The 27,240-nt window shown below is 43.2% G+C and overlaps 1 protein-coding gene and 1 pseudogene across 1 annotated transcript in view, besides 1 other annotated feature; one reads left to right on the top strand and one right to left on the bottom strand.

Annotated features, from left to right (window-relative positions):
* DOCK5 (dedicator of cytokinesis 5) overlaps nucleotides 1-27,240 on the top strand; it is a 231,023-nt gene that overhangs the window by 86,668 nt on the left and 117,115 nt on the right. The window contains exons 4-7 of the mRNA NM_024940.8: nucleotides 4,030-4,085; nucleotides 7,213-7,309; nucleotides 20,668-20,816; nucleotides 25,157-25,292. Coding sequence (NP_079216.4) covers nucleotides 4,030-4,085; nucleotides 7,213-7,309; nucleotides 20,668-20,816; nucleotides 25,157-25,292 — 438 coding nt within the window. The remainder of the gene's footprint in view (nucleotides 1-4,029; nucleotides 4,086-7,212; nucleotides 7,310-20,667; nucleotides 20,817-25,156; nucleotides 25,293-27,240) is intronic.
* LOC124901864 (oocyte-secreted protein 4B-like) lies at nucleotides 5,558-6,174 on the bottom strand (annotated as a pseudogene).
* Nucleotides 11,057-11,351: a silencer, noted in NCBI's record as "tiled region #2993; K562 Repressive non-DNase unmatched - State 24:Quies". NCBI's record gives its function as "represses a minimal TATA promoter and a strong SV40 promoter by Sharpr-MPRA in K562 cells {active_cell/tissue: K562}" and the evidence as "EXISTENCE:reporter gene assay evidence [ECO:0000049][PMID:27701403]".

Here is a 27,240-nt window from a genome sequence, read left to right on the forward strand (position 1 = left end):
AATATCCTTCTTGTGGAGAGATTCAGGGAAAATACAGGCAAATCAAATTCAGTTGCCATGAATTCTGCTCTGCTTTTGACACCCCGTCATTAAGAGATCAGCTCATTAGAAACGCTCTCCTGTGCTGTGTCCCTCATTTCTCCGTCTTTAAGGGGAAGAGCTACTTGAAAGGCCTGTTGTTTTAATGGAAATTCTTGGTGTCATTTATAAGCTGACCCAGCCATTTAGAGTGATGATAAAAGGAGCTAGTTGATGATAAAAGGAGCTAGTGGTTTTACAAATTGAAGAAGCCAAGCGCTTTTCCGAAACTGATTATTGATCCTGGTGGAATTGTGGGAGTGTGGATAAGGGCAACATCTAGAAAATCATTAGTTTATTTTTCTACTCAAGTGAGTGGGTTACAATGAGGAAGGAGAAGCAGAACTGAGAGACAGGCTGTAAATCAGAAACACATGACCTAGGTTTACTCTGACTTTCTGTGTGTCATCATGGCATAGGAGTCATTCTATAAGCATCAGATTTGCCAGAGCAATTCTATGACTGTAAATGGCCAAGTGTCATCATGGAAAGGTGAAGCCTACTGATGACAAATACACACATACTATGTAACAAATACACACATACTGTATAACAAATACATGCTATATAACTAATACATACATACATATATACATACATACATACATATTTGAGACAGGATCTCAGTCTGTTGCCCAGGCTGGAGTACAGTGGCGTGATCACAGTTCACTGCAGCCTTGACCTTCTGGGCTCAAGCAATCCTCCTGCCTCAGCCTCCCGTGTAGCTGGGACCATTGGCATGTGCCACCATGCTGTGCTAATTTTTTAAATTTTTGTAGAGACGGTGTCTCAGTTTGTTGCCCAGGCTGGTCTTGAACTTCTGGGCTCAAGCGATCCTCTTGTCTTGGCTTCCTAAAGTGCTGGGATTACAAGCATGATCCACTGTGCCTTGCCTCAAATATTCTCCTAATATGAAAATCATCATGTCTGAACATCCAGTGTAAATTGTCTGCTTATGATCTGCTTAGATGTCACAAGATTCATCACTCTGCATTTATGTTTCTGAATACTTCTATCTTGAATGTTTTCCACTTATTAGGAGCGACTAGTCACCAGATTGTGAATGCATGAAAATTTTAATTGGTCCTTTACCTTCTGATTTCAAAAACCTTCAGCAGGGATGTTCCTTTGTAGTAGCAGTGTTACATTTTACTTTTGACTTCCAGAATTGGATCCTTGTAACTAAACAGTTTATCCGTGCCCAGCGCCTCCGCAACCCCACTCCTGCTTTTTTATGAGTTTTGGACTTTTTTTATTGTGGTAAAAATATATATAACATAAAATTTACCATCTTAACCATTTGTAAGTGTACTTTCCAGTGGCACTAAGTACATTCTCATTGTTGTGCAACCATCAACACCATCCATCTCCAGAAGTCTTTCATCTTTCCAAACTAAAATTCTGTCCCCTTTAGATACTAACTTCCTATTGTTCCCTATCCCCCGCAAGCCCCTCAGAACCCCCATTGTACTTTCTGTCTTTATGAATTTGACTACTCCAGGTGTAAGTGGAGCCGTACAGTATTTGTCCTTTTGTGACTGGCTTATTTCACTTAGTGTAATGTCTTCAAGGTTAGTTCCCAACATCCCAGTTTAGTTCCCCACAGAGATGATAGTCAGCAAATCATTTGCCGTGGCGCAGTGGCACAGTGGCACAGCGGCACAGCAGGCAGAAGAAACACCCAGAGTTCCTTAGGCCTCCTAGGGACAGGCCTAGAGCTTCCGAACTGCAGAAATCAGGCCCCAGAGGAATCACACGCAGTTTTTGAACTGAACACCCTCCTTTCTCATTGCTATATTCATCAGATGTTTACTCAGTGCCTGCTGCATGCCTGGCACTGCAAAGGACAGTTCCCTGTTTTGATCATTAAAAAAATTAAATAGACCAGGCACATGGCTCATACCTGTAATCCCAGCACTTTGGGAGGCTGAGGTGAGCTGATCACTTGAGGTTAAGAGTTGAAGACCAGCCTGGCCTGGCCAATATGGTGAAATCCTGTCTCTACTAAAAATACAAAAATTAGCCGGGCATGGTGGTGCATACCTGTAATCCCAGCTACTTGGGATGCTGAGGCAGGAGAACTGCTTGAGCCCGGAGGGCGGAGGTTGCAGTGAGCCGAAATTGTGCGACTGTACTCCAGTCTGGGCAACAGAGCAAGACTCTGTCTCAAAGAATGAATAAATGAATGAACGCATGAATGAATAAATAGTCAGAAGACTTATCTCCTTCTTTTTCACTTCGATGGTGTGCCTATGCGTGTATGTTTTATACTGATAGAATTCCATGGCCAAACTCACCTGACCTGAGGGGTGGCGCATTGAGAAAGTGTCCTGTCTACTGTGCCCCACAGTAGACACACATTTAATTTTTGTTTTCAATTATTTGATCAGTTTTCCAAAATGGTTCTGAATCCCACCTCCATAATGAAAGAGGTCATTGTCACCTTGTGTCTGTGTGTGTTCTTGGTCTCATCAGTAACGGGATTAGAATTCACACTCATATTCCCCACGCCTGCCCCCGTCTCAAAGCGAGGAGGAGAAGGGATGTACTTTTTATTTGGGGCTTTGTGTCTGGTGGGGAAGCACATGCAGGATCCACTCTGTCATCACCAATGCTAGGGGCAGTTTAATCTCAAATGTTCTTGCTGTTTCCTGTTTTATTGGCAACGGATTAAAAGAGAGAAAGCAGAGTGTTGTACAGACAAATATAGCACATGCAACTGGACACAAGAACAACCCTGTCAATGTTCACTGGTTTCCTGTCTGAGTGGAGTAAGGATCAGTGGGTATATATGCCTCCGGGCACTGGGACATCCCCTCCCACCTTTATGATCAGCCACCCCTGACATGTCATGTTCATGGAGTTCACACCAACTCTTCCAGGAATAGGGCTGGGAGCAGTTAGCCAACAGTGCCAGGTATAAGCTCCATGTAAGATACCATGAAACAGATCAGCATCACTGTCTCCGGATGACATCTCCTCTGTGTGTGAGCATATCACACAGTAAACAGCAGAAGCTTTGGTACACATAACACTCACATCTGGGACTTGCTTCCTGTTGGTTAGATCTGGTCCTCTGTTCTCTGATTTCTATCCACCAGTTTCTCCTCTTTCTCTTAGGTCTTTCCAGGCCTAAGTCTTCCCCATGGGCAGTGTTACAATACTGATGTAGAACTGCCTCTTAGGGATATAGAATGGAGAGCAGTTTGACACTGTGAGGTGCTGAAAATAACCAGGTAACTAACACCCGTTGATTTTGAGTGCATTTGGTTTAAGTGGGAGTGCTGAGAGGAACTACTTTAGAAAAATCACTATGTAGTTGACCCGTGAAAAATATGAGTTTGAACTCTGCAGCACTTCCACATGGATTTTTTTTTTTTAGCCAAATGCAAATCAAAATTACAATATTCTTGGGACATGAAACCTGTGTAAAAGTATATGCGGGTTGTGCAGGGCTGCGTGCCATACTTGAGTATGTGTGGATTTGGGTATATGCTTTGTGGGAAGGAGGTTTCTGGAACCAACCCCTTGCATATTCTGAGGGATGACTTATTTTATGGGCTACTGAGTACTGCATAGTTTCCATGTCACCCCTTATGTGAAACTTATGGGAAGCATCTCATGGCAAGTAGCATCTGAGGGGTTTAGGAGTTCACAATTACACTCCTTCCCATTATGTTATCTCTGAGCTGACACAGCATGTTTGCCTCTTCATTCACAAAATATCCTATGCTCTCTGAACCCAAATTTTAATTTCTACCTTTTTGATGTTTCCACCATGCTTTTGTGGAGGTAGCCAGTCAACGTAAGTGGTGTCCTGCCAACCTGATCTCAGGAGTTTAGCTATTGCCTGGGTGTTCCCATTTATTCTCTTTACTTTGGGCTGAGGTGTTTTTGTTTGGTTTTTGTTTTGTTTTTATGGCCATATAACCAAAATTCTTTTCTCTGTAGGGCATTTTCCCTGAAACATATATCCATTTGAAAGAGGCAACTGTGGAAGACCTGGGGTAAGTTCCAAGCTAGGAAGATTCCCCAAAAATGATGAAGATGTAACATTATCATTAATGATAATCTTTAGGCATTAATGCCTTATGTACGTTAATAGTTCTCTCATCTCAGGCCAGGCGTGGTGGCTCACGCCTGTAATCCCAGCACTTTGGGAGACCGAGGTGGGCAGATCATTTGAGGTCAGGAGTTCGAAACCAGCCTGGCCAACATGGTAAAACCCCCATCTCTACTAAAAATACAAAAGTTAGCTGGGCTTGGTGGTGGGTGCCTGTAATCCCAGCTACTGGGGAGGCTGAGGCAGGAGAATCACTCGAGCCCAGGAGGCAGAGCTCGCAGTGAGCTGAGATCATACCACTACACTCTAACCTGGGTGACAGAGCAAGACTCTCTCTCAAAAAAAAATAAAATTAAAAAATTTCTCTCATCTCATCAGTTCTACTTCTCCTATGAGAGAGAAATGAAGAAAAACTTTTCACTCATACAATTCCTTCCTCTGTCTTCTCTTTCTATAATTGTTCCTCCTTTCCATTACTTCTCCAGAATACTAAACACAGAAGTAGCAAAAACTGAGGGCTTTTGCCTCTACATTACATTTATTATCTGTTCACTGATTGTGTGTGTGTGCGTGTGTGTATGTTTGCACACATGAACATTTGGGACTCTGACTGATAAGATCTGAGAAGCCCCCAATTCAGGATCCTTGAGAGAGAGATGATTAAGCAACAGCCTGCATTTACCAGCTCTGAGCCTTGGATGAATCACTTAAACTTAAGTGGATCCTGGGTTTTTCACAGCATATTAGGGGAAACAATCTGACCCTACTTTGATCATGAGCTTGTCATGAGATTCGAATGAGGTAATGTATGCAAATGTGCCCTGAAGATAAGATCTGCTATATTTTGGGTATTCATATTTCTTGCCCACCTCATCTTGCCCACCTCATTTGTCCTGGGAAGTACTGCCTCTGTGACAGCTAAGAAGAGTGAGCTACTTAGTCTAAGTGGGAGAGAGAGAGGTGACTTAGGTGATGGTGAGTCTCTGGACAGGAGAATTCTGGAGGCAGTACGGAGAGGCTGGGGTAGGACTGGAATCCTGGGGCTGATGGAGAGGAGAGTGGGGCCGAGGAGAGAGTGGACAGCTGGGTCACAGAACCATGCAGCCTCACAGCTAGAAAGAGCATTCCCAGTTGTAGTTCAGCACCATCATTTCTTTTCTTTTGTTTTCTTTTCTTTTTTTAATTATGATGGGCAAGCTTTATTTTGTATGAACTTGATTTCACAAAATTAGAATGGCAATTCCACTTAAAATTAACTGTTTAAAAAGTGTAAATGTCACGGTATAGATCTGTTATCCAAAACTCCAAAAGGCAGTGAAATTGGTAACAGATATTCCTCCTCATCTTTGGACCCATACAACAGCAGAATTGATGAAACTGGTTCCCAGGCAAGTATGTGCCACTTGCTCCCGTGCCTCAGGGAGGAGAGGATGTTATGACACAGGCGTTTTTGTTGCAGTGACTTGTGGATAATTGCTCCTTATTAACACTGCTAAAATTATGTTCACATGTTTTACTTTGTGTGGGAGCCGATGACTCTTGTCCTTTCGTTTTTTGAGTATTATCTTTCAAATGAGCGTTGGCCTCAAACCCGCTCATTCCAAAATGCATCACAGATGGGAATTTAAGCCTCTTCACAAAGCAAACCACTGGAAATTCATAGGTAGTATGCAACATTGGTCTGTAACTGATAATAGGGCAACATCATTTCTTTGGAACGTAATTTTCTTGATTCCACAAGAAGTGACAGGATAAGAAAACTCATAGTTAAATGAGAACAGTCTTGTTACAGGACAGTTATCTCCCAGGTGTATGTCATCAATTCTAATTTCCGTGTTGTTACCAAAGGGCCTTATTTTCATTCTGACTAACAACCAATCATCAGAACACATTGAAACTGTTGCTGGGTCAAGTTCAAAAGGATTCCAAAACAGTAAAAAAAAAGAGGAAGGGCCCACCAAGAGCACAGAGGTCTTCATCGCTCCAGACTCCCAGATACAGCACAGGGAACAAGAAATGGCAGAACCATCATTTCATAGACAAGTGGTCAAGATGTCCTCAAAGCCGTACAGCTCTTTGGTGGCAGAACCAGGACCAAAAACCAGGTCTCCTGCCCTGCTGGAGAAGTCCTCTTTCCGGTGGGCCGTGGGCTGCCTCCACTGCCACCCACCATGTTGGAGGAAACGTAGGTGGGGAGGCACATTCACACCAATTAGGGTTATACAGGATGCCCAGTTACATTGGCAATTCAAATAGTAAGTAATTTTTCATAGTAAGCATTTCCCAGATATTTCATGGGTCACACTTATTCTAAAAAATCTTACTATACCAGAAATTCAAACTTAACTAGGTCTCCTATATTTTTCCTCATTGAGCCTGGCAGTCCTACCACCAGTTCCAATTTGTTTGCTTGCTCTTGCTTTCTCCTTTTTTCTTTTTGCTAATCATAAAAATGCCAGAGAGGATTTCTGTGAATAAATGTAGTACCTACCTTTATGAGAGTCTTCTGTGAGTAAGCAAGGATTTTGTTAAGTGTACGTTTTCTGTGTTGTGAAACTGCAGATGAGAAGAAAACATGGGACTATTCCAGAAAGGGGTGCTGCCTCCGTATCCCCCACCTCTACCCTGGCCTCTGCCCCAACCAGGTCCTGGGTGGAGTCACAGCCCCAGGACACTCGTGCCACACACACCTTTCCATCCAGCCTCCCAAATGAAACAGCTGCTTGGTGGAACCAGCTAAAATGCTGCATATTTTGCTTCCATCTTTGAGAATCACTGAAGCCAGCCTGGCTCAGTAATCGAGTCTCCTGGAGAAATCTACACTGGGGAGGTCGAGGCTGGGCCGCAGGCTCATTCAGTTGCAGGAACGGAGCCCATTTTGAGGACTGTGCTGCCTTACTCTCCTTCTCTTCTCCCAGATGCTTGGATGCGATAAAGTCCCCTGCACAACTCCTGCCCCCAGGCCTAACCAGCTTCATTCTCAACCTTGAACGTTGGGAAGTCTGATCCCCATCAAGTAAAGCAGTGCTGATCAGCCTAGAAGAAAGTGACCCTCGTTTGGTTCTTTGTAGGCAGCATGAAACCGTGATTCCTGGCGAGCTCCCCCTGGTGCAGGAGCTCACGTCCACTCTGCGAGAATGGGCTGTCATCTGGCGAAAGCTCTACGTGGTGAGTTTCCCCTTGTGGCTTGGAGCCCCAGGGTCACTCTGGGTCCTCAGCCTGTAGGTCCTTTGCAGGGTGTTGGCCCCTTATTGCTGACTTCATGGAGTGGGATGCATTCTCCCTGGATCACACAAAGGCTGATAAGCAGCAGATTCTCATTTCCCCAGAGCTGGGTCACTGATAGCGGGTAGTGGAGTAACTGGGCGTAATCATTCTAGCAGTCTTTTCTCAAATGATAAACATGCTGATTGTGAAAGTACTAATGATAATAATCACTGCAAACACTTCTGCAGTCTTTCCTAAGTGCCAGAAACTATGAATCCTCACAACATTCCTATAAAGTAGGTGCAATTATTATTAATTTGTTAATAAGGAACCTGAGTCATGCTCTTAGCCTCTTCATGTATACCAGTGAACTGAAATTTATCGATATTTCAGGGCTCAGCTGCATGAGGATGACATTCTTTACCTTGGCCCACATACCTTACAGACTCAGAAACTTGAATAGTGTTAAGTTGTGGTCTGAGAGTCACCTTTTTGGGCAGACTCACAGTATTCTTTCTCCCAACACTGGTTTGACCTCATAATGCTAATACAGTGTGTCAGTTCACAGGGAAATTACAAGGAGCCAGCACATCCTCTCCGTAATAAACAATAAGCTCAAGTTGTGTGCAGGAATCAGCACCAAGTAAATCTAGCATTTAACATGATGAAACTGAGAACAGCTGTCTTGCAAGAGACCAAGGATGCTCAAAGTCTATTGGCAGCAAGTCTGCCTCATCTCCAGTGTAGAAAGCTCTTTCCTTAATGTTTTTTTTTTTTTTTGAGACGGAGTCTCACTCTTTCGCCCAAGCTGGACTGCAGTGGCGCTGTCCCGGCTCACTGCAAGCTCCGCCTCTTGGGTTCATGCCATTCTCCTCCTTAATGTTAACATTGGAATCCACAAAGACTTTTTATTTTATTTATTTATTTTTTTGAGATGGAGTCTCGCTCTGTCACTCAGGCTGGAGTGCAGTGACACCATCTCAGCTCACTGCAACCTCCGCCTCCCAAGTTCAAGCAATTCTGCCTCAGCCTCCCAAGTAGCTGGGACTATAGGCGTGTGCCACCCCGCCTGGCTAATTTTTTTTTTTTTTTGTATTTTTAATAGAGACAAGGTTTCACCATGTTGGCCAGGCTGGTCTTGAACTCCTGACCTCAAGTGATCTATGTGTCTTGGCCTCCCAAAGTGTTGAGATTACAGGAGTGAGCCACCATGGCCGGCTAATTTTGTGTGTGTGTTTTTAGTAGAGATGGGGTTTTACCATGCTGGGCAGGCTGGTCTTGAACTCCTGACCTCAAGTGATCCAACTGTCTTGGCCTCCCAAAGTGTTGGGATTACGGGCGTGAGCCACTGTGCCCCGCCCACAAAGACTGTTTATTCTAAAGTTGCTTCTTTGCCTATAGCCCTTGTAGTTCAGCATCACTGGGTCTTGCCTCTGTTAGTGGGTTCCAGCCTTCTGTGGCTGACCAGAAATTCCTATGGCGAATGTATATTCTCTCGTTAGATGTGTGTACAAGTTCAGGGAGGTTGTAGACCAGACTTGATGGCCTGGGAACCCTCCTCTTTTCTTTATGTGGCTTTGTTTGTCTCAATTTTTGTTCAGTCATGTGTTGATTCATTTTAACTCTGAAAAGCCAATCTTAATAAGTTACTGGGAATACCTCACTCTAGACCCTAAATACTGAAGGCAGTAATCAAAAGCTAATTTTGGCATAACTTATAAGAGTTCATGGAAGATATTTCATTTTCATTCAGGGCTGTTGTTTCCCTTGGTTAATCACAGCAGTAGAAATCACCAACCCCTTTGGTGGAAAAGCACATGGTATTTCTCTACTTGGTCATCCTTCAAGACCTTGTTTAGACGCTTTCTTCTTCATATTGTATTTTCTAAACATAGCAATCTATAACGTTTCCCTCTGGACAATAGAAGCACTTACTGCTAAACTCATCATCTGACCCTTGGGGCACACTGCTTCATAATAAAGGTGATCTTTTGATCTCTTTATGTTTAGTTGAAGAGAGAATGCACATTAAGTTGCTAAATCACAAGGAGGATGGAGACACTGCTGTCAGCCCCGTGGCCTTCATTGATCATCTTGCACTTATATTGAGAGTACTCTCTGGTTCTGGTTTATTGATTAGTTAGTTGGGTGGATGTAACAAGGTTGATGGATGAGGAATTGCGTGTACGTGGGTTGGTTCCTTAACATGTTCTTTCTGGAAATTGATGAGTGTTGAAATGCATTAGATAATCAGTATTGGGAAAGGAGTTTTTTTTTTTTTTTTTAAAGATGTATGAGACTGGAGAGTATGAGTGAGGCCGACTTTTTTTCTTGCTAAAACACAACTGGTGTGCCCAGTTTATTACCTATGTCTTCTACACATCCACAAGTAATTGTGCCAGGTCTACCATTGAATAGAATGAAGAAAGAAGTGAATGGGGGCCAGGTGCAGTGGCTCGTGCCTGTAATCCCAGCACTTTGGGAGGCTGAGGACGGCGGATCACTTGAGGTCACGAGTTCAAAACCAGCCCGTCCCAATATGGTAAAACCCCTTCTCTACTAAAAATACAAAAATTAGCTGGGTGTAGTGGCTTGTGCCTGTAATCCCAGCTACTCGGGAGGCTGAGGCAGGAGAATCGCAGGAGAATCGCTTGAACTGGGGAGGCAGAGGTTGCAGTGAGCCAAGATCACACTGTTGCACTTCAGCCTGGGGGAAAAGAGTGAAACTCCGTCTCAAAAAAAAAAAAAAAGTGAACGGGGATGAAGAATTAGGACTCATGTATTTTGGCTGCCAAAATCTCTTAGTAGTTAAAGGTGATAAGGTCTTGTTGAACATTTCCTTGGTGGGAGAGTTTCATGTTGTAGTAGCAGAATTTGGTTAAAAAAAAAAAAAAGGCCAGGCGCAGTGGTTCACGCCTGTAATCCCAGCACTTTGGGAGGCTGAGGTGGGCGGATCACAAGGACAGGAGTTCAAGACCAGCCTGGCTAATATGGTGAAACCCTGTCTCTACTAAAAATACAAAAATTAGCTGCGCATGGTTGTGGCCACCTGTAGTCCCAGCTACTCGGGAGGCTGAGGCAGAAGAATCACTTGAACCCGAGAGGCGGAGGTTGCAGTGAGCCAAGATTGTGCCATTGCACTCCAGACTGGGAGACAGAGGGAGACTCCGTTTAAAAAAAAAAAGAAAAAAAAAAAAAAAAAAGCCATCCCCTCTTCGAGGGCAGCACATTTCTCATTTTAATTTAGATATCTAATAACATAATTATTTTGGTATTTGTGAATAATTTAAAATGTCTTATAGCCGCTGTTGATTGACTAAAAGACATTCTTTGTAGAAATTCTCAGTCAGTCGATAGGACTGAGAAACCTGCTTCTGCTCTTGATACATGCTCATCCAGTAAGGAACAATCCACTAAGATTTGTTATTATGGTTAGTGCAAAAGTAATTGTGGCTTTCACCGTTACTTTAAATGGCAAAACCCACAATTATTTTTGTACCATCCTAGTATTAATTGTGGCTTTCTCTTTTTTTTTTTTCCTGTCCCTTCCTAAAGCATTGACAGTTAACTTGAGGCAGAACTTCTGAACTTCTTACTGAAACGTTTCTGTATCAAAGTAGCAAACATCAATATTATGTTTCACTAGGAAACAAGTAAAAACCCAAATCTCTGGTTTTCGTGTCCCATCTCCTTTCACCTGCTGTATGCTGTTATTGATGTTTTTGCTTTCTGATTCTGTAAGTTCCTTCAGTCCATGTAAAGATAAATACAGATTTTACTAGTATGTAGCAATACTTGTATTATTTCTCTCTTGCATTTCCCCCTGTAGATTACAACACCAGACGCTCTGTTTGATGTCTTTAAAGACACCTGTGGCCAGCTAGTGGCTCACGCCTGTAATCCCATCCCTTTGGGAGGTCAAGCCTGGGGGATTGTTTGAGTCCAGCAGTTTGAGACCAGCCTGGGTGACATAGCAAGACCCTATCTCTACAAAAATTAGCTGGGCACAGTGGCACATACCTGTAATCTAGGCTACTCAGAAGGCTGAGGTGGGAGGATTGCTTGAGCTCGGGTGGTTGAAGCTGCAGTGAGCCATGATTATACCACTGCATTCCAGCCTGGGTGACACAGTAAGACCCTTTCTCAAAAAAAAAAAAAAAAAAAAAAAAAAAAAAAGATACCTGTGATGTCTTAGAAATCCCACATTTCTATAGTACATTTCCTTGTTCTTTTCTTTTCAGTCTCAGTTCACCAGAAATGTACGTTGTGGATCCACAGTCTCATATGAGGGGAAAATGCAGTCCACTAACCAGATTAACCCCAGCCATGTAGACGCTGGTGATTATTCTAGAAAAGAAAAATATTTGCCTAGCTGTGATTTATTTTTAGCAGTTATACGGTAACCATGTAGAATAATCATAAATATGTCTTAAAGGGGAGGGGAGTATGTACACAGAACAGAGGTGAACCCACTTATCCAAAATGGAGAGAACAGATGACTCCCCCCGTGGTCTCTCTGTTCCTTAGGTATATTATTATTGTTTTCTGTTGGATTATCTTCCCCAGTGGGTGTTGGCCTTATGCTCAGGAGAGGAAGCGGGTTTTAGGAGACAGACACTGGCCCAGGAATTGGGAAGCTGAGTATCCTGTGCGGGTCCTGTTCTGACCAGTTCTGTGGCCTTGGGCAAGTCACTTGAACACTTCAAGTCTGCTGGATGTTGTTCCTCTGCAAAAGTTGATGTAAAAGCTGCCGTGTTGACCGCGTAGAACTCTGAGAGTATGGAAAGAGAGAGTGGCTGTGATCTGTGCTGCTGACAGACCACAAGGACTCCGCCAATGGGAGCATGTGCTTTTGATGTTATCTTAGCTGGAAGCAGTAGCCATCTGGACACCCTCCCTCTGGGAAGCCTTGGCATAGCTTCTCTCTTACCCGACTGCCTGCCCAAGACTCTGAAGCTCCCTTCTGTATGGCCCCTTATCCAAGGTCGCTTCCTTTGGAACAATTATCTTAGGCAAAGTGGCCTTGAGCACTCAGCAGCCAAGCTAAATTTCTCACCATACATAGAGAACCTGCTTGGTTTAAATTCAAGTCCAGGAGGCCCGGGTCATTCCAAAATACAGAGAAACTGCAAATGTATGGCAGTTTCTGATGGTCTTTCCCTATACTGCTGTGCCTCAGTTGGAACTAGTCACTGGGTGTGTTTTCATTGGTTGTTCAGGAAAGGAGGGAACATTGTGATCAAGGAGACCTCCTGGTGACGTACCAAGACCTTGGACATTGGAGTCAGACAGACTGCCTAGTTCTTAAGTTCTGGCTTCTCCCTTACTGGGTATGTACTATTATATTCAGAAAAAAATGACAAACCCAGTAATAGTTACTGAAAATAAACCAAAACAGAAAGAACTTGGATGCAGAAGGCTACTAGCTGATCCTGCTGCCTAAGACAAGTCCCTTGATCTCCTTAAGTTTTCTTTTCTTCTCTTAAGTGGGGATTTTATGTGCTATATGCCTTGCAAATTTATTGTAAGGATTCAGCGGGATAGTCTGTATAAAACCCCAGGGTAGTACCTGTCACACTGTGGTCAATACATGACAGCCCCTGACTAACCCCTCACAACTCTGCTCCTAGAAAGAGCTGATTGATAATGAGAAGTGTAAGAGAAGAGCTGGATCACACTAGAAGATTTAGTGACGTTTGCCTTGAGGTCATGTAAGGGTGCAGTTGCCCACCTACTGTGGTTATTCCCCATCTTCCAGCTTCGGGCAGAAGGGGTGGGCAGATAATGTCTAGCCTCCCTCCAGCCCCGTAGTAACTTAACTAGGTCGATGGGTTTCAGATTTTCTATCCACTATTCTTCCCAGCCTTGGAAAGCAGCTCCAGCGAGCTGATCTTTGGCCTCTTTTCCTTTCTGTCAACACCTCTTCCTGCTTCCACACGGCTGAGGTGGAATCAGGGCAGATCCCCGTGCTAGATGGGCGGATGCCCATGCAGTGACTTAGACACGGTCGGATTCGTGTAATGTCTAACTTTTATCTTGTCGATAACAACTCAGTTATACTTTTTGAATATAAACAATTCTACATCTCAAGTCAAAGGATCATACTTTTTCAACTAAAAATCTGGTCTTGAAACTGAAGAATTGCAGTGTATTCGTGGACACAGTAGGGCAAGAGTTTTCAAATACAGGACTGTCCTGTAAATTCTAAGGTGTTTGGATGCCATAAACATGCTGTGCACCATCTCACCCTAAGATTTAGTTTCGTGCTATTCCTCATCTTCCCATGGGAGAAAGGGTTCAGTGAATTGTGGTCAATCGGGCTGTTTTGTTCGTGTAACTTTGGAAGACTGGATCTAATCCTACTCCTTATGGAAAAGAGATAGAAGATCTTTTTTGGTGATAGAAGGTATTGAAGGCATAGTGTTGAATCAAGTGAATTTATTATTATTTTTTTTTTTGAGATGTAGTTTCATTATTCTCGCCCAGGCTGGAGTGCAGTAGTGAGATCTTGGCGCACTGCAACCTCTGCCTCCAGGGTTCAAGCGATTCTCATGCCTCAGTCTCCGGAGTAGCTGGGATTACAGGTGCGCATCACCACGCCTGGCTAATTTTTGTATTTTCAGTAGAGAAGGGGTTTCACCATGTTGGCCAGGCTGGTCTCAAACTCCTGATCTCAGGTGATCTGCTCGCCTTGGCCTCCCAAAGTGCTGGGATACAGGTGTGAGCCACTATGCCCAGCCAATCAAGTGAATTTAATTGCTAACATGTAGTTTGTACAAAGGACTGATCTCCCCTCACTTAAAATTTGCCAGCAATAAAGAACCCTGTGGCAGTCTATAGTTCTGGAAAAATCAGGAGCAGAAAAAGTGCCTATAACTGGGAAGAGGGGGTAGGGGAACTTGCAGAACATACTGAATGGCCCTTTCTTCCCATCATCGCATATCCAGGCAGTTTAAAGCTGCTGGATTCTAATCTCTTTGAACCGGTGGTTATTACTGGCTGCTGGAACGTAATCTCTGAAGTACAATTAAGCTGGTCTCATGGTTTGAAACCAGCATCTTATTCCTTATTACCAAGAACAGAAAATTCCCATAGCAAACTTTGTCCTCTTGTCAGGGCATTTTATCTGGGAGTTGCAAGCCCTGCTTCAGTGTGGCTCTAACAAGAGAGCCAAGATGTGGCGTGGGACTGACTGATGGGCACCAGACATGGGTGGTGCTTTGGGTATTTTTCCAGTTTTGATTTCCTCTGACCTGGTTGCCTGGCTGTCAGGATTTCTTTTCCTTCAGGAGGCAAAAAATGGCCTTTAACTTGAATGGTTTCTTTAAAAATCAGACCTTTGCTGGTCAGACTGCACTTTTATCTGACACAGAGAAAAGGCACTAGAATGGATAGGAAGCGTGTTTGGGGCAGTGGGAATTCTCTTCTTCCCGGGGTCCCTGGAGTCAGTGTAGCTCAAGAACACAGAAGGACCCAAACACCCCATCTGGACCCAGGTGTTACAGCTACGTGGAAAAGGCATGAGATTGATTGCAATGAGCTCGACACCGGGAAAATTTGATTCAACGCCAACTGAGTGTGCAAGCAAGTGAGATGATCAGAGTCAGATGCAGTTAATCAGGAAGCTGCCTGGGAGGAGTAATTGAGTTTAATGTCTCAGTCATAGACTCAAAGACGCTTATCCTTGGGAATGGATTTTAGTTCCAGTCTCTTTATTTTACATGTGAGTTTACCCTAGAGGGAATATGCCCGAAGCCACATAGCAAGTTAATGATAGAATTCGAGATAGAAGCCAAGTACCCATACTTTCAGCCAAGCCTGTTTCCCCCTAAGTCATAAAATCTGCATGGAAGAGGAAAGGTTGGTGAACAGAGTGAATATTGATTCTTTTATACATGGAATGGTAGAAGACCAGAGAAAGGGTTTTTGACTGTGGTCTGCATTGTTTTTCTCTTTTTTGTTTTTTTTTTGTTTTCAGAGATAGGGTCTCGTTCTGCCACCCAGGCAGGAGGGCAGTGGTGCAGTCACAGTTCACTGGTGCCTCAAACTCCCAGGCTCAAGCAATCCTCCCACCTCAGCCTCCTTGGTAGCTGGGACCACAGGCGTGCACCACCACATCTGGCTAATTTTTTATTTTTTGTAGAGACAGAGTCTTACCATTTTGTAGAGACAGAGTCTTTAGCCCATGCAGGTCTCAAACTCCTAGGCTCAAGCAGTCTTCCTACCCCAGCCTCCCAAAGTGCTAAGATTATAGGCATGAACCATTCTACCCATCCCTGTGGTCTGCATTCTTTGGGAAAATGAAGAATAGAGTCCAGGTTTTCTAATACCCATTGCAGCTGGGCCATCATCTAAATGGCCCCTCAAATTTCTATAATACTCCTGCTTTCCTGTGAGTATTGAAGGCAAAGCTATTTTTTCTTGTGACTTTGTGTTTATCTCTAGACATTCTAAAAAAAGAAAAAAAAGTTATAAACATCGGGAGGCCGAGGTGGGAGGATCACCTAAGGTCAGAAGTTCGAGGCCAGCCTGGCCAGTATGGCAAAACACTGTCTCTACTAAAAATAAGAAAATTATCTCATTGTGTGGTGTGTGCCTGTGATCCCAGCTACTTGGGAGGCTGAGGCAGGAGAATTGTTTGAACCCAGGAGGTGGAGGTTGCTGTGAGCCAAGATTGCACTACTGCACTCCAGCTTGGGTGACAGAGCGAGACTCCATTAAAAAAAAAAGTTATAAATATTTGGACTAAAACTACAAAAAGTGAGGCTTCAGGTATCTCCGTATCTCCAAGTAGAAGAGGGAGAAATTTTAAGCAAATGCAGGAATATCTTTGCTATCTTGAAAAAAATTTAGATTGTTTTATTTTGTGGACACATTCTTCATTCACATTGAAAGCAGAGTATTACAGAGTGTTATTTTAAATTTAAGCTGTCAAAGTTTGTTTTTGAGTCCCTATTGTGTTCCAGGATTGTGCTCTTTTGTGGAGAGGGTCACAGAAATTCTTGGATGATGTGACAGTGGCGGATAATGCAGAAAAGGCTGAAGTGAGTGATGACGAGAGATAACCGAGAAGGCTTCTACAACAGGCGGGCCTGGGCAGTATGGGATTCAGGAAAGAAAGAGCTGGAAGGAGAGCAACTGGAGAGAGAAAATAGAGCCTCAGAGGAGCTTAGCATATGCTCTTTTTTTTTTTTTTTTGAGATGGAGTTTCTTTCTTGTCACCCAGACTAGAGTGCAATGGTGTGATCTCGGCTTGCAGCAACCTCTGCCTCCTGGGTTCAAGCAATTCTCCTGCCTCAGCCTCTTGAGTAGCTGGGATTATAGGTACCCGCCACCACACCCAGCTAATTTTTGTATTTTTAGTAGAGACGGGGTTTCACCGTGTTGGTCAGGCTGGTCTCGAACTCCTGACCTCAGGTGATCCACCTGCCTCGGCCTCCCAAAGTGCTGGGATTACAGGCGTGAGCCACTGCGCCCGGCCAGCCCGTGCTCTTTTGGTGAGTGTTTGGTTTTCTCTTCACCTGTCCTCATATGCTTCCCCCAAAACCCATGAAGTGTCAGGGACCAACTATTATGTGAAACATCTTGCTTAGAACGCTCTTAGGAATGTAGCAACAAAGTCCATCTCCTTGAAGTGAATGGGGAAATTGTTTCCTTTGGTGTGTTATAGCTTGTCTATTCAGAATTCACTTGGCACAGTATATCAGAGAAGAATGACTGTCTTCATCCTTCCTTGGGGGACAAAGTTGGCAGACAAGGCTGGTATGGACGGGCAATAATTAAATTGCCACGGATAGTGTCTAATGTAACTGAGACTAAGAACTTGTGCACATGTACCCCAAACAAAGCACTGTGTCACACAGAGGATCCCCGGAGCCTTTGAACCCTTTCTTTACCATATTATGAGAAGCAATATCTTAACATTAGAAAACACTTTGAATAGCTAAAAGTGGACAAATGCGTTGCAAGAAAGAAAACAAGAGTCTCTTTCTGCTTAGCAGTTTTGAAAAGCAAAAACTGACAGGCTTAATTTCTCACTTCTTTTTCCAATTTTGAAGAAAATGAAATGGAAACATTTTATATAAGATTGAAGGAAAAAAGCAGGGTTTTTACCTTTGCTTATTAAAAATAGTATCTTAAAAGCCCTCATTTTTATGTTTTGCTAAGGACTGGGGGATGAGGAAGAGGCAATTCAGAAAATGCTAAAAGCAGTAAATGTAGGTAGTTTCAAAATTTTAAACAGGCTTTGCCTTCTGTGTTTTTTTAAGATCAGTGGTGTTAACAGAGCATATTGCAATCACAGATAAATGGGTTGTTCATCTCTTTCCTTTGTGTTGCCACAGAACTTTGAACTTGTGTTAGGGTTTCAACACACTCTGCTAATCTCAGTTTTGTTCATTGCCCCCTACTTTACACCAAGGCCTCTTTCCTCCTCATTTATTCTTTGTTAAGGAGTATTTTGGATGTTTTCAGCCCTGTTTCTAGTCTACACCTGGTCCAGGAATCTGTGTCCTTAGGATCGTCATAGAAGGACATCACTAGAGAATATTGTGTGCTGTCAACATCTCTCTCTGTGTGTGCATTGTTTTTTGGGGGGTTTTTTGTTTGTTTGTTTGTTTGTTTATTTTACAGAAACAAGGTCTCGCTATGTTGCCCAGGCTGGTCTCAAACTCTGAGACTCAAGTGATCCTCTTGCCTCGGCCTCCCAAAGTGCTGGGATTACAGATGTGAGCCACCACGCCCAGCCAGTGTGAGTTGTTTTTACAGCAGATAAGAAGAATGTTTTCTTATAATTTCAGAAGTATATGGTTATATAACTATATCATGACTTTCAACTATAAAGAAGAAAGAAATGGGGCTGGGCGTGGTGGCTCACGCCTATAATCCCAGCACTTTGGGAGACTGAGGCAGGCGGATCATCTGAGGTCGGGAGTTTGAGACCAGCCTGACCAACATGGAGAAACCCCATCTCTACCAAAAATACAAAATTAGCTGGGCGTGGTGGCGCATGCCTGTAATCCCAGCTACTTGGGAGGCTGAGGCAGGAGAATCACTTGAACGCGGGATGGGGAGGTTGTCGTGAGCTGAGATCACGCCATTGCACTCTAGCCTGGGCAACAAGAGCAAAACTCCGTTTCCAAAAAAAAGAAAGAAGGAAATAGATTCATAGTATATGTGGATTCAGTGGAATTCTGTGGGGTTTTATTTAACTAACATTTCAAAAGTGATACACAGAAGACTTTTCTCTGAACGCAGTACCTAAAGTAACATCCTTCCCCTATATACGCAAGATCATATTGTCCTATTTATTCTTCTTATACTTTTCATCATCAGAAATTATCTCATGTGTGTATATATATTATGATATAATATATGGCGTATATATTTACTTTCTTATTGCTGTCTTACCTTCTCTGGAATGTTAGATCCTTGAGGGCAGAAACTTTATTACCAGCACATAGTGGATGCTCATTAACTTAAAAAAAATTAAAATGAAGACATCAATCATTTAGGTCAGGGGTGTCCAATCTTTTGGCTTCCCTAGGCCACATTGGAAGAAGAATTGTCCACATATGAGATACACTAACATGAATGATAGCTGATGAGCTAAAAAACAAAAATTGCAAAAAAAATATGATAATGTTTTAAGAACGTTTATGAAGTTGCATTGGGCTGCATTCAAAGCCATCCAGGGCCACAGGTTGGACAAGCTTGATTTAGAAGTTTGTGATGGCTTAGGTGTCAAGTATTTGATTCTTAAAATGATTGAAAAACAAATGATTAGTTAGTTGTAAGGTAATTTAGTTTGGTTACAGTAAGTTACTAGTGAAACCAAGATTAACAGTTTAATATGTGGATGGTCTAACAATTGGGGAAATGGGGACTTTAAAATAATATTTAAAATTATATTTTCTAGTATTTCTTATCTCTGAAATTATAATTATTTCTCCATTCATAATTCACTCATTTAGTACATTTGCTAGAGTGCCTACTTATACCAGCTATATTCTAGGGACACACAAATGAACAAACTCTCTGTCCTATAAAGGCCTACCAGCTAAGCAGGGAGGCAGATGAGCCAGTGTAACCCAGGGTTCTCCATGCTATCATGGGAACAAATTCTGGGCACTGTGGGTGGGACCGCTAACATGAAGTTGAAGTTTCAAGGTAGAGACATCTAAGTTGAGACTGAAGAAATCAGAATTACCAGTTGGCAGAGGGTGTAGTGTGAGTCAGAAAAGGATAGGGGTGGGGTAGATTTGGAGGAAGAGGACAAAAGAAGAAATAACATATTGAGAGGATCTGGAGCCTTGGAGAGAAATGGATGTGACTTTGCATGGAAGGGAACATAGATTGTTGGGGTGGAGACTGGTATGAAATGCAGCTGGGAATGTGTGGAAGAGTCAAGATATGGAAGGATCAAGATATGTGTCTGGAGGACATTGAGACTCACTGGAGGGCTTTAAACCCAGGAGGGGCATGGCTAGAGTTTTAGGGTACATGGATGATTTGATATGTTTGTGAGTATGACCCACTGTTTACCCTACAATCACCAGTTTCCACAGTTGCAAGAGGGGAGGGTGTAGAAATGGCTCGGGAGAAAGCCATTCCTATTAATATATTTTCTTAAAATCCCTGGATGCATGCAGCTTACTCTATGACACGATTGATTAAATAACACCTTATAAAGAATCAGGCTAGGCGCAGTGGCTCATGCCTCTAATCCCAGCACTTTGGGAGGCCAAGGCGGGCAGATCACTTGAGGTCAGGAGTTCGAGACCAGCCTGGCCAACGTGATGAAACCCCATCTCTACTAAAAATGCAAAAATTAGCTGGGTGTGGTGGCATGCTCCTGTAGTCCCAGCTATTCAGGAGGCTGAGGCAGGAGAATCACTTCAACCTGGGAGGTGGAGGTTACAGTTAGCCGAGTTTGTGCCACTGCACTCCAGCCTGGGCAACAGAGCAAGACTCCGTCTCAAAAAAAAAAAAAAAATCAACCAGGCCAGGCGTGGTGGCTCAAGCTTATAATCCCAGCACTTTGGGAGGCCGAGGCGGGTAGATCCATGGTGAGACCCTGTCTCTACTTGAACCCAGGAGGCAGAGGTTGTAGTGAGCCAAGATAGTGCTACTGCACTCCAGCCTGGGTGACAGAGCAAGACTCCATCACAAAAAAAAAAAAAAAAAGAATCGGCCAAAAGATGTTCCCTCTCATCTGTCTGACATTCCCGTTAAAAACAAACAAATAAAAAAAGGATGTTCCCATCCTCTGTCACACCTTTTTCTAAGAATCTTTTCTTCATCATATTTTCTCATCTTAGAACAACAAGCTCACCCTCTTCCGCCAGCTGCAGCAGATGACGTACAGCCTGATCGAGTGGCGGTCCCAGATCCTGTCTGGGACGCTCCCCAAGGATGAACTGGCAGAGCTCAAGAAGAAAGTCACAGCCAAAATTGATCATGGGAACAGGTAGGTAAACCAGGGATGGCTTTTCACTGAAAACTTGGCGAACAGTGGGCATGTTCACGCTAATGACACTGTTTGCAGCGACCTTTGATCTTAGAGTTGCCAAAGAATAATGCTTACTGCTCTCATTTTGTCTTTGAAGACATTTAATTTTGTTGAAAAAAATGTCACAGTTCCCTCCATGGCCAGGCTCTGTGTTGGATCTCTGATCCCATGGAGGTGACAGATGATCAGGAAAGATGGGTCTTGGACTGAGGCTGCTCCACTCCAAATAAAGAAAACAAAAACAAAAAACCTGGCTGGGCACAGTGGCTCACACTTGTAATCCCAGTACTTTGTGAGGATGAGGCTCGAGGATCACTTGAGCCCAGTAGTTTGGAACCAGCCCAGACAACATAGCGAGGCCCCATCTCTACAATAAATATTTGGAAATTAGCTGGGTGTGGTGGTGCACACCTGTCATCCCACCTACTCGGGAGGATCACTTGAACCTGGAGGTTCAAGGCTGCAGTGAGCCATGATTGCATGCCTGCACTCCAGCCTGGGCAACAGAGTGAGACCCTGTCTCACAAACTAAACTAAACTAAAATCCCTGAAAATGACCAAGCCTCTGAAGTTGACATTTTCAGATACTTGGGACTGTATCTATTTTTATTCTAACAGTGGATTCCAAATCAATACCAGACTCATTCTCTTTATTTCTCTTCATCTCCCCCTAACCGGGACCATTGTCTATGGTGTGTGAAAAGCAGACTTGCAGGAGTAGTAAAACATGTTTGTAGCCTGTTGATTATGGCTACAATCACCTCTACAGAGTTAATCACTTCATTAATCTTCTGATTAACTCAGGCACATATCCAGGCTCCAGATATCACTGCCTTTAGGAAAATGAGAAATTCAGTCCTATATCCAAATTGGTGGTGGCCTGGGGTTTTTGCCTCCTGACCAGCACTTTTTTAAAAGGCAAAAGTGGTTCCTCGGTTAGCTGTTATTGGTGATTCTTTTGGAATTAGTTTCATTTTCTAAATTTCTTCAACTTGTGCATATGTGATTTTTTTCCTCCTCCTCTACCTTGCTTTTCTAGTGTCGGAATTCTTGGATATCCCTCAGAGACCTATTAAAATATAGATCATTATGCCACTTATTTAAATGTCATAGACTCTGACAACTATATTCTGAAGTAGCCGAAGTGAACATGCCATGCAGGATTCAGATTCAAGCAGTATTTAGGAAACACCTTCTATGTACATTTCATATACATTACTTGATTATAATCTTAAAACATAGGGTTGAGGTAGCTGTTATTATTTACATCTTATGGATAAAGAAACAGACCAAGTGAGCTTAAGTGATTTATTTCCCAGTCACATAGATAATAAATGGGAAAGGTTAAATTTGAACCCAAGACTTTTGACTCCATGTCTAATGCTGCCTTCTTAGGGTTAAGAATTAATAGTGCCCTTCCCTATTACTTGACCACCCAGAAGACCATACCTACAGTGGCTGCACTGCCAGGCTTGTGGTGTCAGAGGACTTATTAAAAGGCCAATTAGGCCAGGTGAGGTTGCTCATGCCTTTAATCCCAGCAGTTTGGGAGGCTGAGGTGGGCAGATCACCAGAGGTCAGGAGTTCGAGACCAACCTGGCCAACATGATGAAACCCCATCTCTACTAAAAATATAAAAATTAGCTGGGCATGGTGGCATATGCCTGTAATCCCAGCTACTTGGGAGGCTGAGGCACAAGAATCGCTGGAACTCAGGAGGTGGAGGTTGCGGTGAGCCAAGATCATGCCACTGCACTCCAGCCTGGGTGATAGAGTGAGAATCCCTCTCAAATTAATTAATTAATTAATAAAAGGCCAATTGGGTAGGATAAGGAAACTCCATTGCACATAGGACACCTCTGTCATTTGGTGTCTTGCCATGACATTGGCCTGGAGGTCCCGTGATCTCTGGCACAGGATGTTCACACCCCACAAACGGCAGAACATGACTTCTTTCCCGTTCCAGCTCTTGGAAGTCGCTCAGGAAATGGAGCTGCTGTGTCAGTGCCTTCCTGATCCAGTCTCCGAGCAGCCAGCATGGCCATTGTTCATGAGTCTGGGTGGCCTGTGGGTCTGGCCGCCATGGAAAGGAACCTGCCAGATCAAATCACTTGATAGAGATGCTGTAAAACAGGGAGGAGGGAGAGGAGGCATTTTTGCTTTCTTCCCAAAGACTTGGCACATTGCAGTGTTATCCCTGAGCGGTCTTGCTCTTTGGTACCGGGAATGCATGCTGGGTATTCGGATAGCAGTATCCTATTTCCACCACAGTCCTCAACTTCTTGAGCCTAAGCAAAATTTTTTCTACTTCTGTGTGCACTTTGGGCACAAAAGCCTTGAGGGGAGGGATTGCACCCACGATATGGCCGTTAGTATTCCCAAGCATATGCAGAGCTACAACTTCACACACAGCCAGGTGTTTGCTTCTACTAGTTGCTGCGATAAGAGCTGTGTTAGTCCATTCTCACACTGCTATAAAGAAATACCTGAGACTGGGTAATTTATAAGAAAAGTGGTTTAATTGACTCATGGTCTGTTGGCTGTACAGGCAGCATACCAGCTTCTGCCTCTGGGGAGGCCTCAGGAAACACAATCATGGCAGAAGGGGAAGCAAGCACGTCTTACATGGCCAGAGCAGGAGTAAGAGAGAGAGAGGTGGGAGGGGCTACAGACTTTTAAACAACCAGATCTCGTGAGAACTCTATCACGAGAACAGCACCAAAGGGATGGTGTTAAACCATTTATGAAGGATCCACCCCCATGATCCAATCACCTCCCACCAGGCCCCACTTCCAACATTGGGGTGAATGTGAGATTTGGGTGGGAACATAGATCCAAACCATATCAAGAGCTAACATTTATGCTTAAGCTGAGAGTTTACTGTATGCTACATATAGTATTAGGTACTGTACATGCATTATCTTATTAAATTCTCACAACAGGGCCAGGTGCAATGGCTTATGCCTATAATCCCAGCACTTTGGGAGACCGAAGTGGGAGGCTCACTTGAAGCCAGGAGTTCAAGACTAGCCTGGGCAACATAGCAAGACCCCATCTCTACAATTTTTTTTTTTTTAATTAGCTGAGCATGGTAATATAAGCCTGTAGTCCCAGCTACTTGGAAGGCTGAGACAGGGACTGCTTGAGCCCAGGAGTTTAAGGCTGTCTCTAAAAAAAATAAAAATAAATAAATTCTCACAACAACCTTGAAGGGTAAGGAATGTATACAAATGAAGAAACCAAAGTTGTGCAGAATTAAGTAAATTCTCCAGGGTCATAATGTTAGCAAGTATTCAAGCCAAGATTCAAATCCTGGTCTAAATGACACCAGAGCCCATGCTCTGGGCATGAGATAGCAGCAAGCCAGGACTTACTTCACTCGTCTCCTTTATGACCATCTTAAGTTAAGGAAATCAAGGCAAGCCCTCAAATAATTGTTCATTGGTCCTTCATAGCAATGTAATAAACAGTGAGACCACGCCCACTTGGTCTGTTCCTTTACTCATAAAATGGAAATAATAACATTTACCTCCACCCTACCTCATGGCATTATAATCAATCAATGTTTGTGAAGTGTATATAGGAGGTATGTGTGTATGTATTTATTTATTTATTTATTGTTTCAGACAGGGTCTTGCTTTCTCATGCAGGCTAGAGTGCAGTGGTGCAATCCTGACTCATTGCAGCCTCAACTTCCTGGGCTCAAGCCATCCTCACACCTCAGCCCCCCAAGTAGTTGAGACTACAGGCGTGTGCTACTACACCTGGCTAATTTTTGTATTTTTAGCAGAGACAGGGTTTCAACATGTTGCCCAGGCTGGTCTTGACCTCCTGGTCTCAAGTAATCCGCCCACCTCAGCCTCCCAAAGTGCTAGGATTACAGACGTGAACCACGACGCCTGGCAAAGGAGGTGTTTATTAAACACAGGTTGAATCTTAATTTTGTTTGCTCTATTTACTTCATAGTTCCTCTTCATAATAACAGAAGATTACAGGCAAGAAGCATTGGCCAGAGGAATTTAGTCAGAATCAGTGCCAATTTTACTTTTCTCTTCAGGGTCTATGGACCATATTTGCATATCCTTCTACGACTTTGGCTAATATCATCTCATGAGTTTTCTAACAGTGTTGAAAGGTGGCAGAAACTGAAATGAGAAAAGTCAATGAGGTGTGCTTCCCTGGGCTTGTCCAGCATCTCCCTTTCTAACTATGGATCCTCTGGGCTCCTTGACAAGGACTCCTCAGTAAAAAGTCTGCCCCTGGTGAGGAGAACCAGCTGACTACTCCTTTCTCTCCAGAATGCTGGGGTTAGATCTGGTGGTGCGAGATGACAATGGGAACATCCTAGACCCTGACGAAACCAGCACCATTGCCCTCTTCAAGGCCCATGAGGTGGCCTCCAAAAGGATTGAGGAAAAGATCCAAGAAGAGAAGGTACAGTTCCTCAAATGTGAAATTCTGCCCACTGAGGTTCCATTTTTGCCTTGGTTTTTAATGAAAGAAAGGGAAATCATTGAGAACAAAACTACTTCTGTAGTTTTCGTCCTCATTTTAAAAGTGAAACATAGCAGAAAGGATGAGGCAGGTATATATATATATATGTTCTGATATGGAAAGATCGCAAAGATACGTATTAAGTGAAAAGATCAGGATCCATAATGGTATATATGAAATGCTATTATTTGTGTTTCAAAAAATGTATATAAATCTATGCTTGCATATACATAGACTAACTCTGAAATAATAGACAAGAAATAATTATTAATGGATGCATCTGGGAAGGAAAACGGGGTGGGAGGGAGACTTCTTAAATGTGTAATCTCTTGCATTCATTGCATATATTGCAATTTCAAAATAAATAGTATTTATTTTTATTTTTTATTTATATGTTTATTTTTGAGACGGAGTCTTGCTCTGTTGCCCAGGCTGGAGTGCAGTGGTGCAGTCTCAGCTCACTGCAACCTCTGCTTCCCGGGTTCAAGCAATTCTCCTGCCTCAGCCTCCCGAGTAGCTGGGATTACAGGCACCCACCACCACACCCGGCTAATTTTTGTAATTTTTTTTTTTTTTTAGATGGAGTCTTGCTCTGTTGCCCTGGAGTGGCCAGATCTCAGCTCACTGCAACCTCTGCCTCCTGGGTTCAAGCTGTTCTCCTGCCTCAGCCTTCCGAGTAGCTGGGATTACAGGCGCCCACCACCACGCCTGGCTAATTTTTGTATTTTTAGTAGAGACTTTCACCATGTTGGCCAGGCTAGTCTTGAACTCCTGACCTCCTGTGATCCACCTGCCTTGGCCTCCCAAAGTGCTGGGATTACAGGCGTGAGCCACCAAGCCTGGCCAATTTTTGTATTTTTAGTAGAGATGGAGTTTCACCATATTGGTCAGGCCGGTCTCAAACTCCTGACCTCAGGTGATCCACCCTCCTCGGCCTCCTGAAGTGCTGGGATTATAGGCATGATCCACTGCACCCAGGCTAAAATAAATAATATTTAAAAATAAAGTGTTTGAAAGACTTCAAAGGTAATAATTGGACATTAAAGAAAAATTAGAATCCATGCATGGTGCCTCATGCCTATAATCCTAGCCCTTTGGGAGGCTGAGGTGGGCGGATCATTTGAGGCCAGGAGTTCAAGACCAACTGGGCAAATAGTGACATAGTGAGACCCCATTTCTACAAAAAATTTTTTAAAAAATTAGCTGGACGTGGTAGTGCATGACTGTAGTCCCAGCTACCCAGGAGGCTGAGGCAGGAGGATCACTTGAGACTGGGAATTTAAGGCTGTAGTGAACTATGATCATACCACTGCACTCCAGCCTGGGCAACAAAGCAAGACCCTGCCTCTTAAAAAAAAAAAAAAAAAAAACTTACTCATATTTTGATTTCTCAGACCCAAACATATTGACATTTTAATATGTTTTTTTTCCAGTCTTTCTGTTCTAATGAGTAAAGATTTGTGTCAATTTTCTTTGGTTTGTTGGTTTGTAGTGTTTACTTCTTTAGCATGGTCATGATAATATTTGTGTTCTGAATCCAATGGCAAACCACACCTGAAGGTAAAGCCTTTCTAGTGGAATATTTTGTTTTTAATGAGAGTTATTTCTTTATCCAGGATAATGGATCATGATGTTTGTGCTTTTGAGCTTCATTCAGAAGCTATTGTGTAAGACAAGCACCTCTTGGAGCTACCAAAACCCTGGAATTATCACCTTTAGACAGCATTTGTTTGAATGTCTGGGATTCAAGGCCCTGAACAGGACAGTCTTGATCACTGAAAATATAATGATTATATTTTGCTCACTGCATTTGTCCACTTACATACACTTTTTCTTAGCAAATGCACTTCCTCTCGGGTGTTATCTGTGTTTTGTTTTTTGTTATTTA

This window comes from Homo sapiens, chromosome 8, assembly GCF_000001405.40.
Source record: "Homo sapiens chromosome 8, GRCh38.p14 Primary Assembly".
Taxonomy (NCBI): Eukaryota; Metazoa; Chordata; class Mammalia; order Primates; family Hominidae; genus Homo; species Homo sapiens.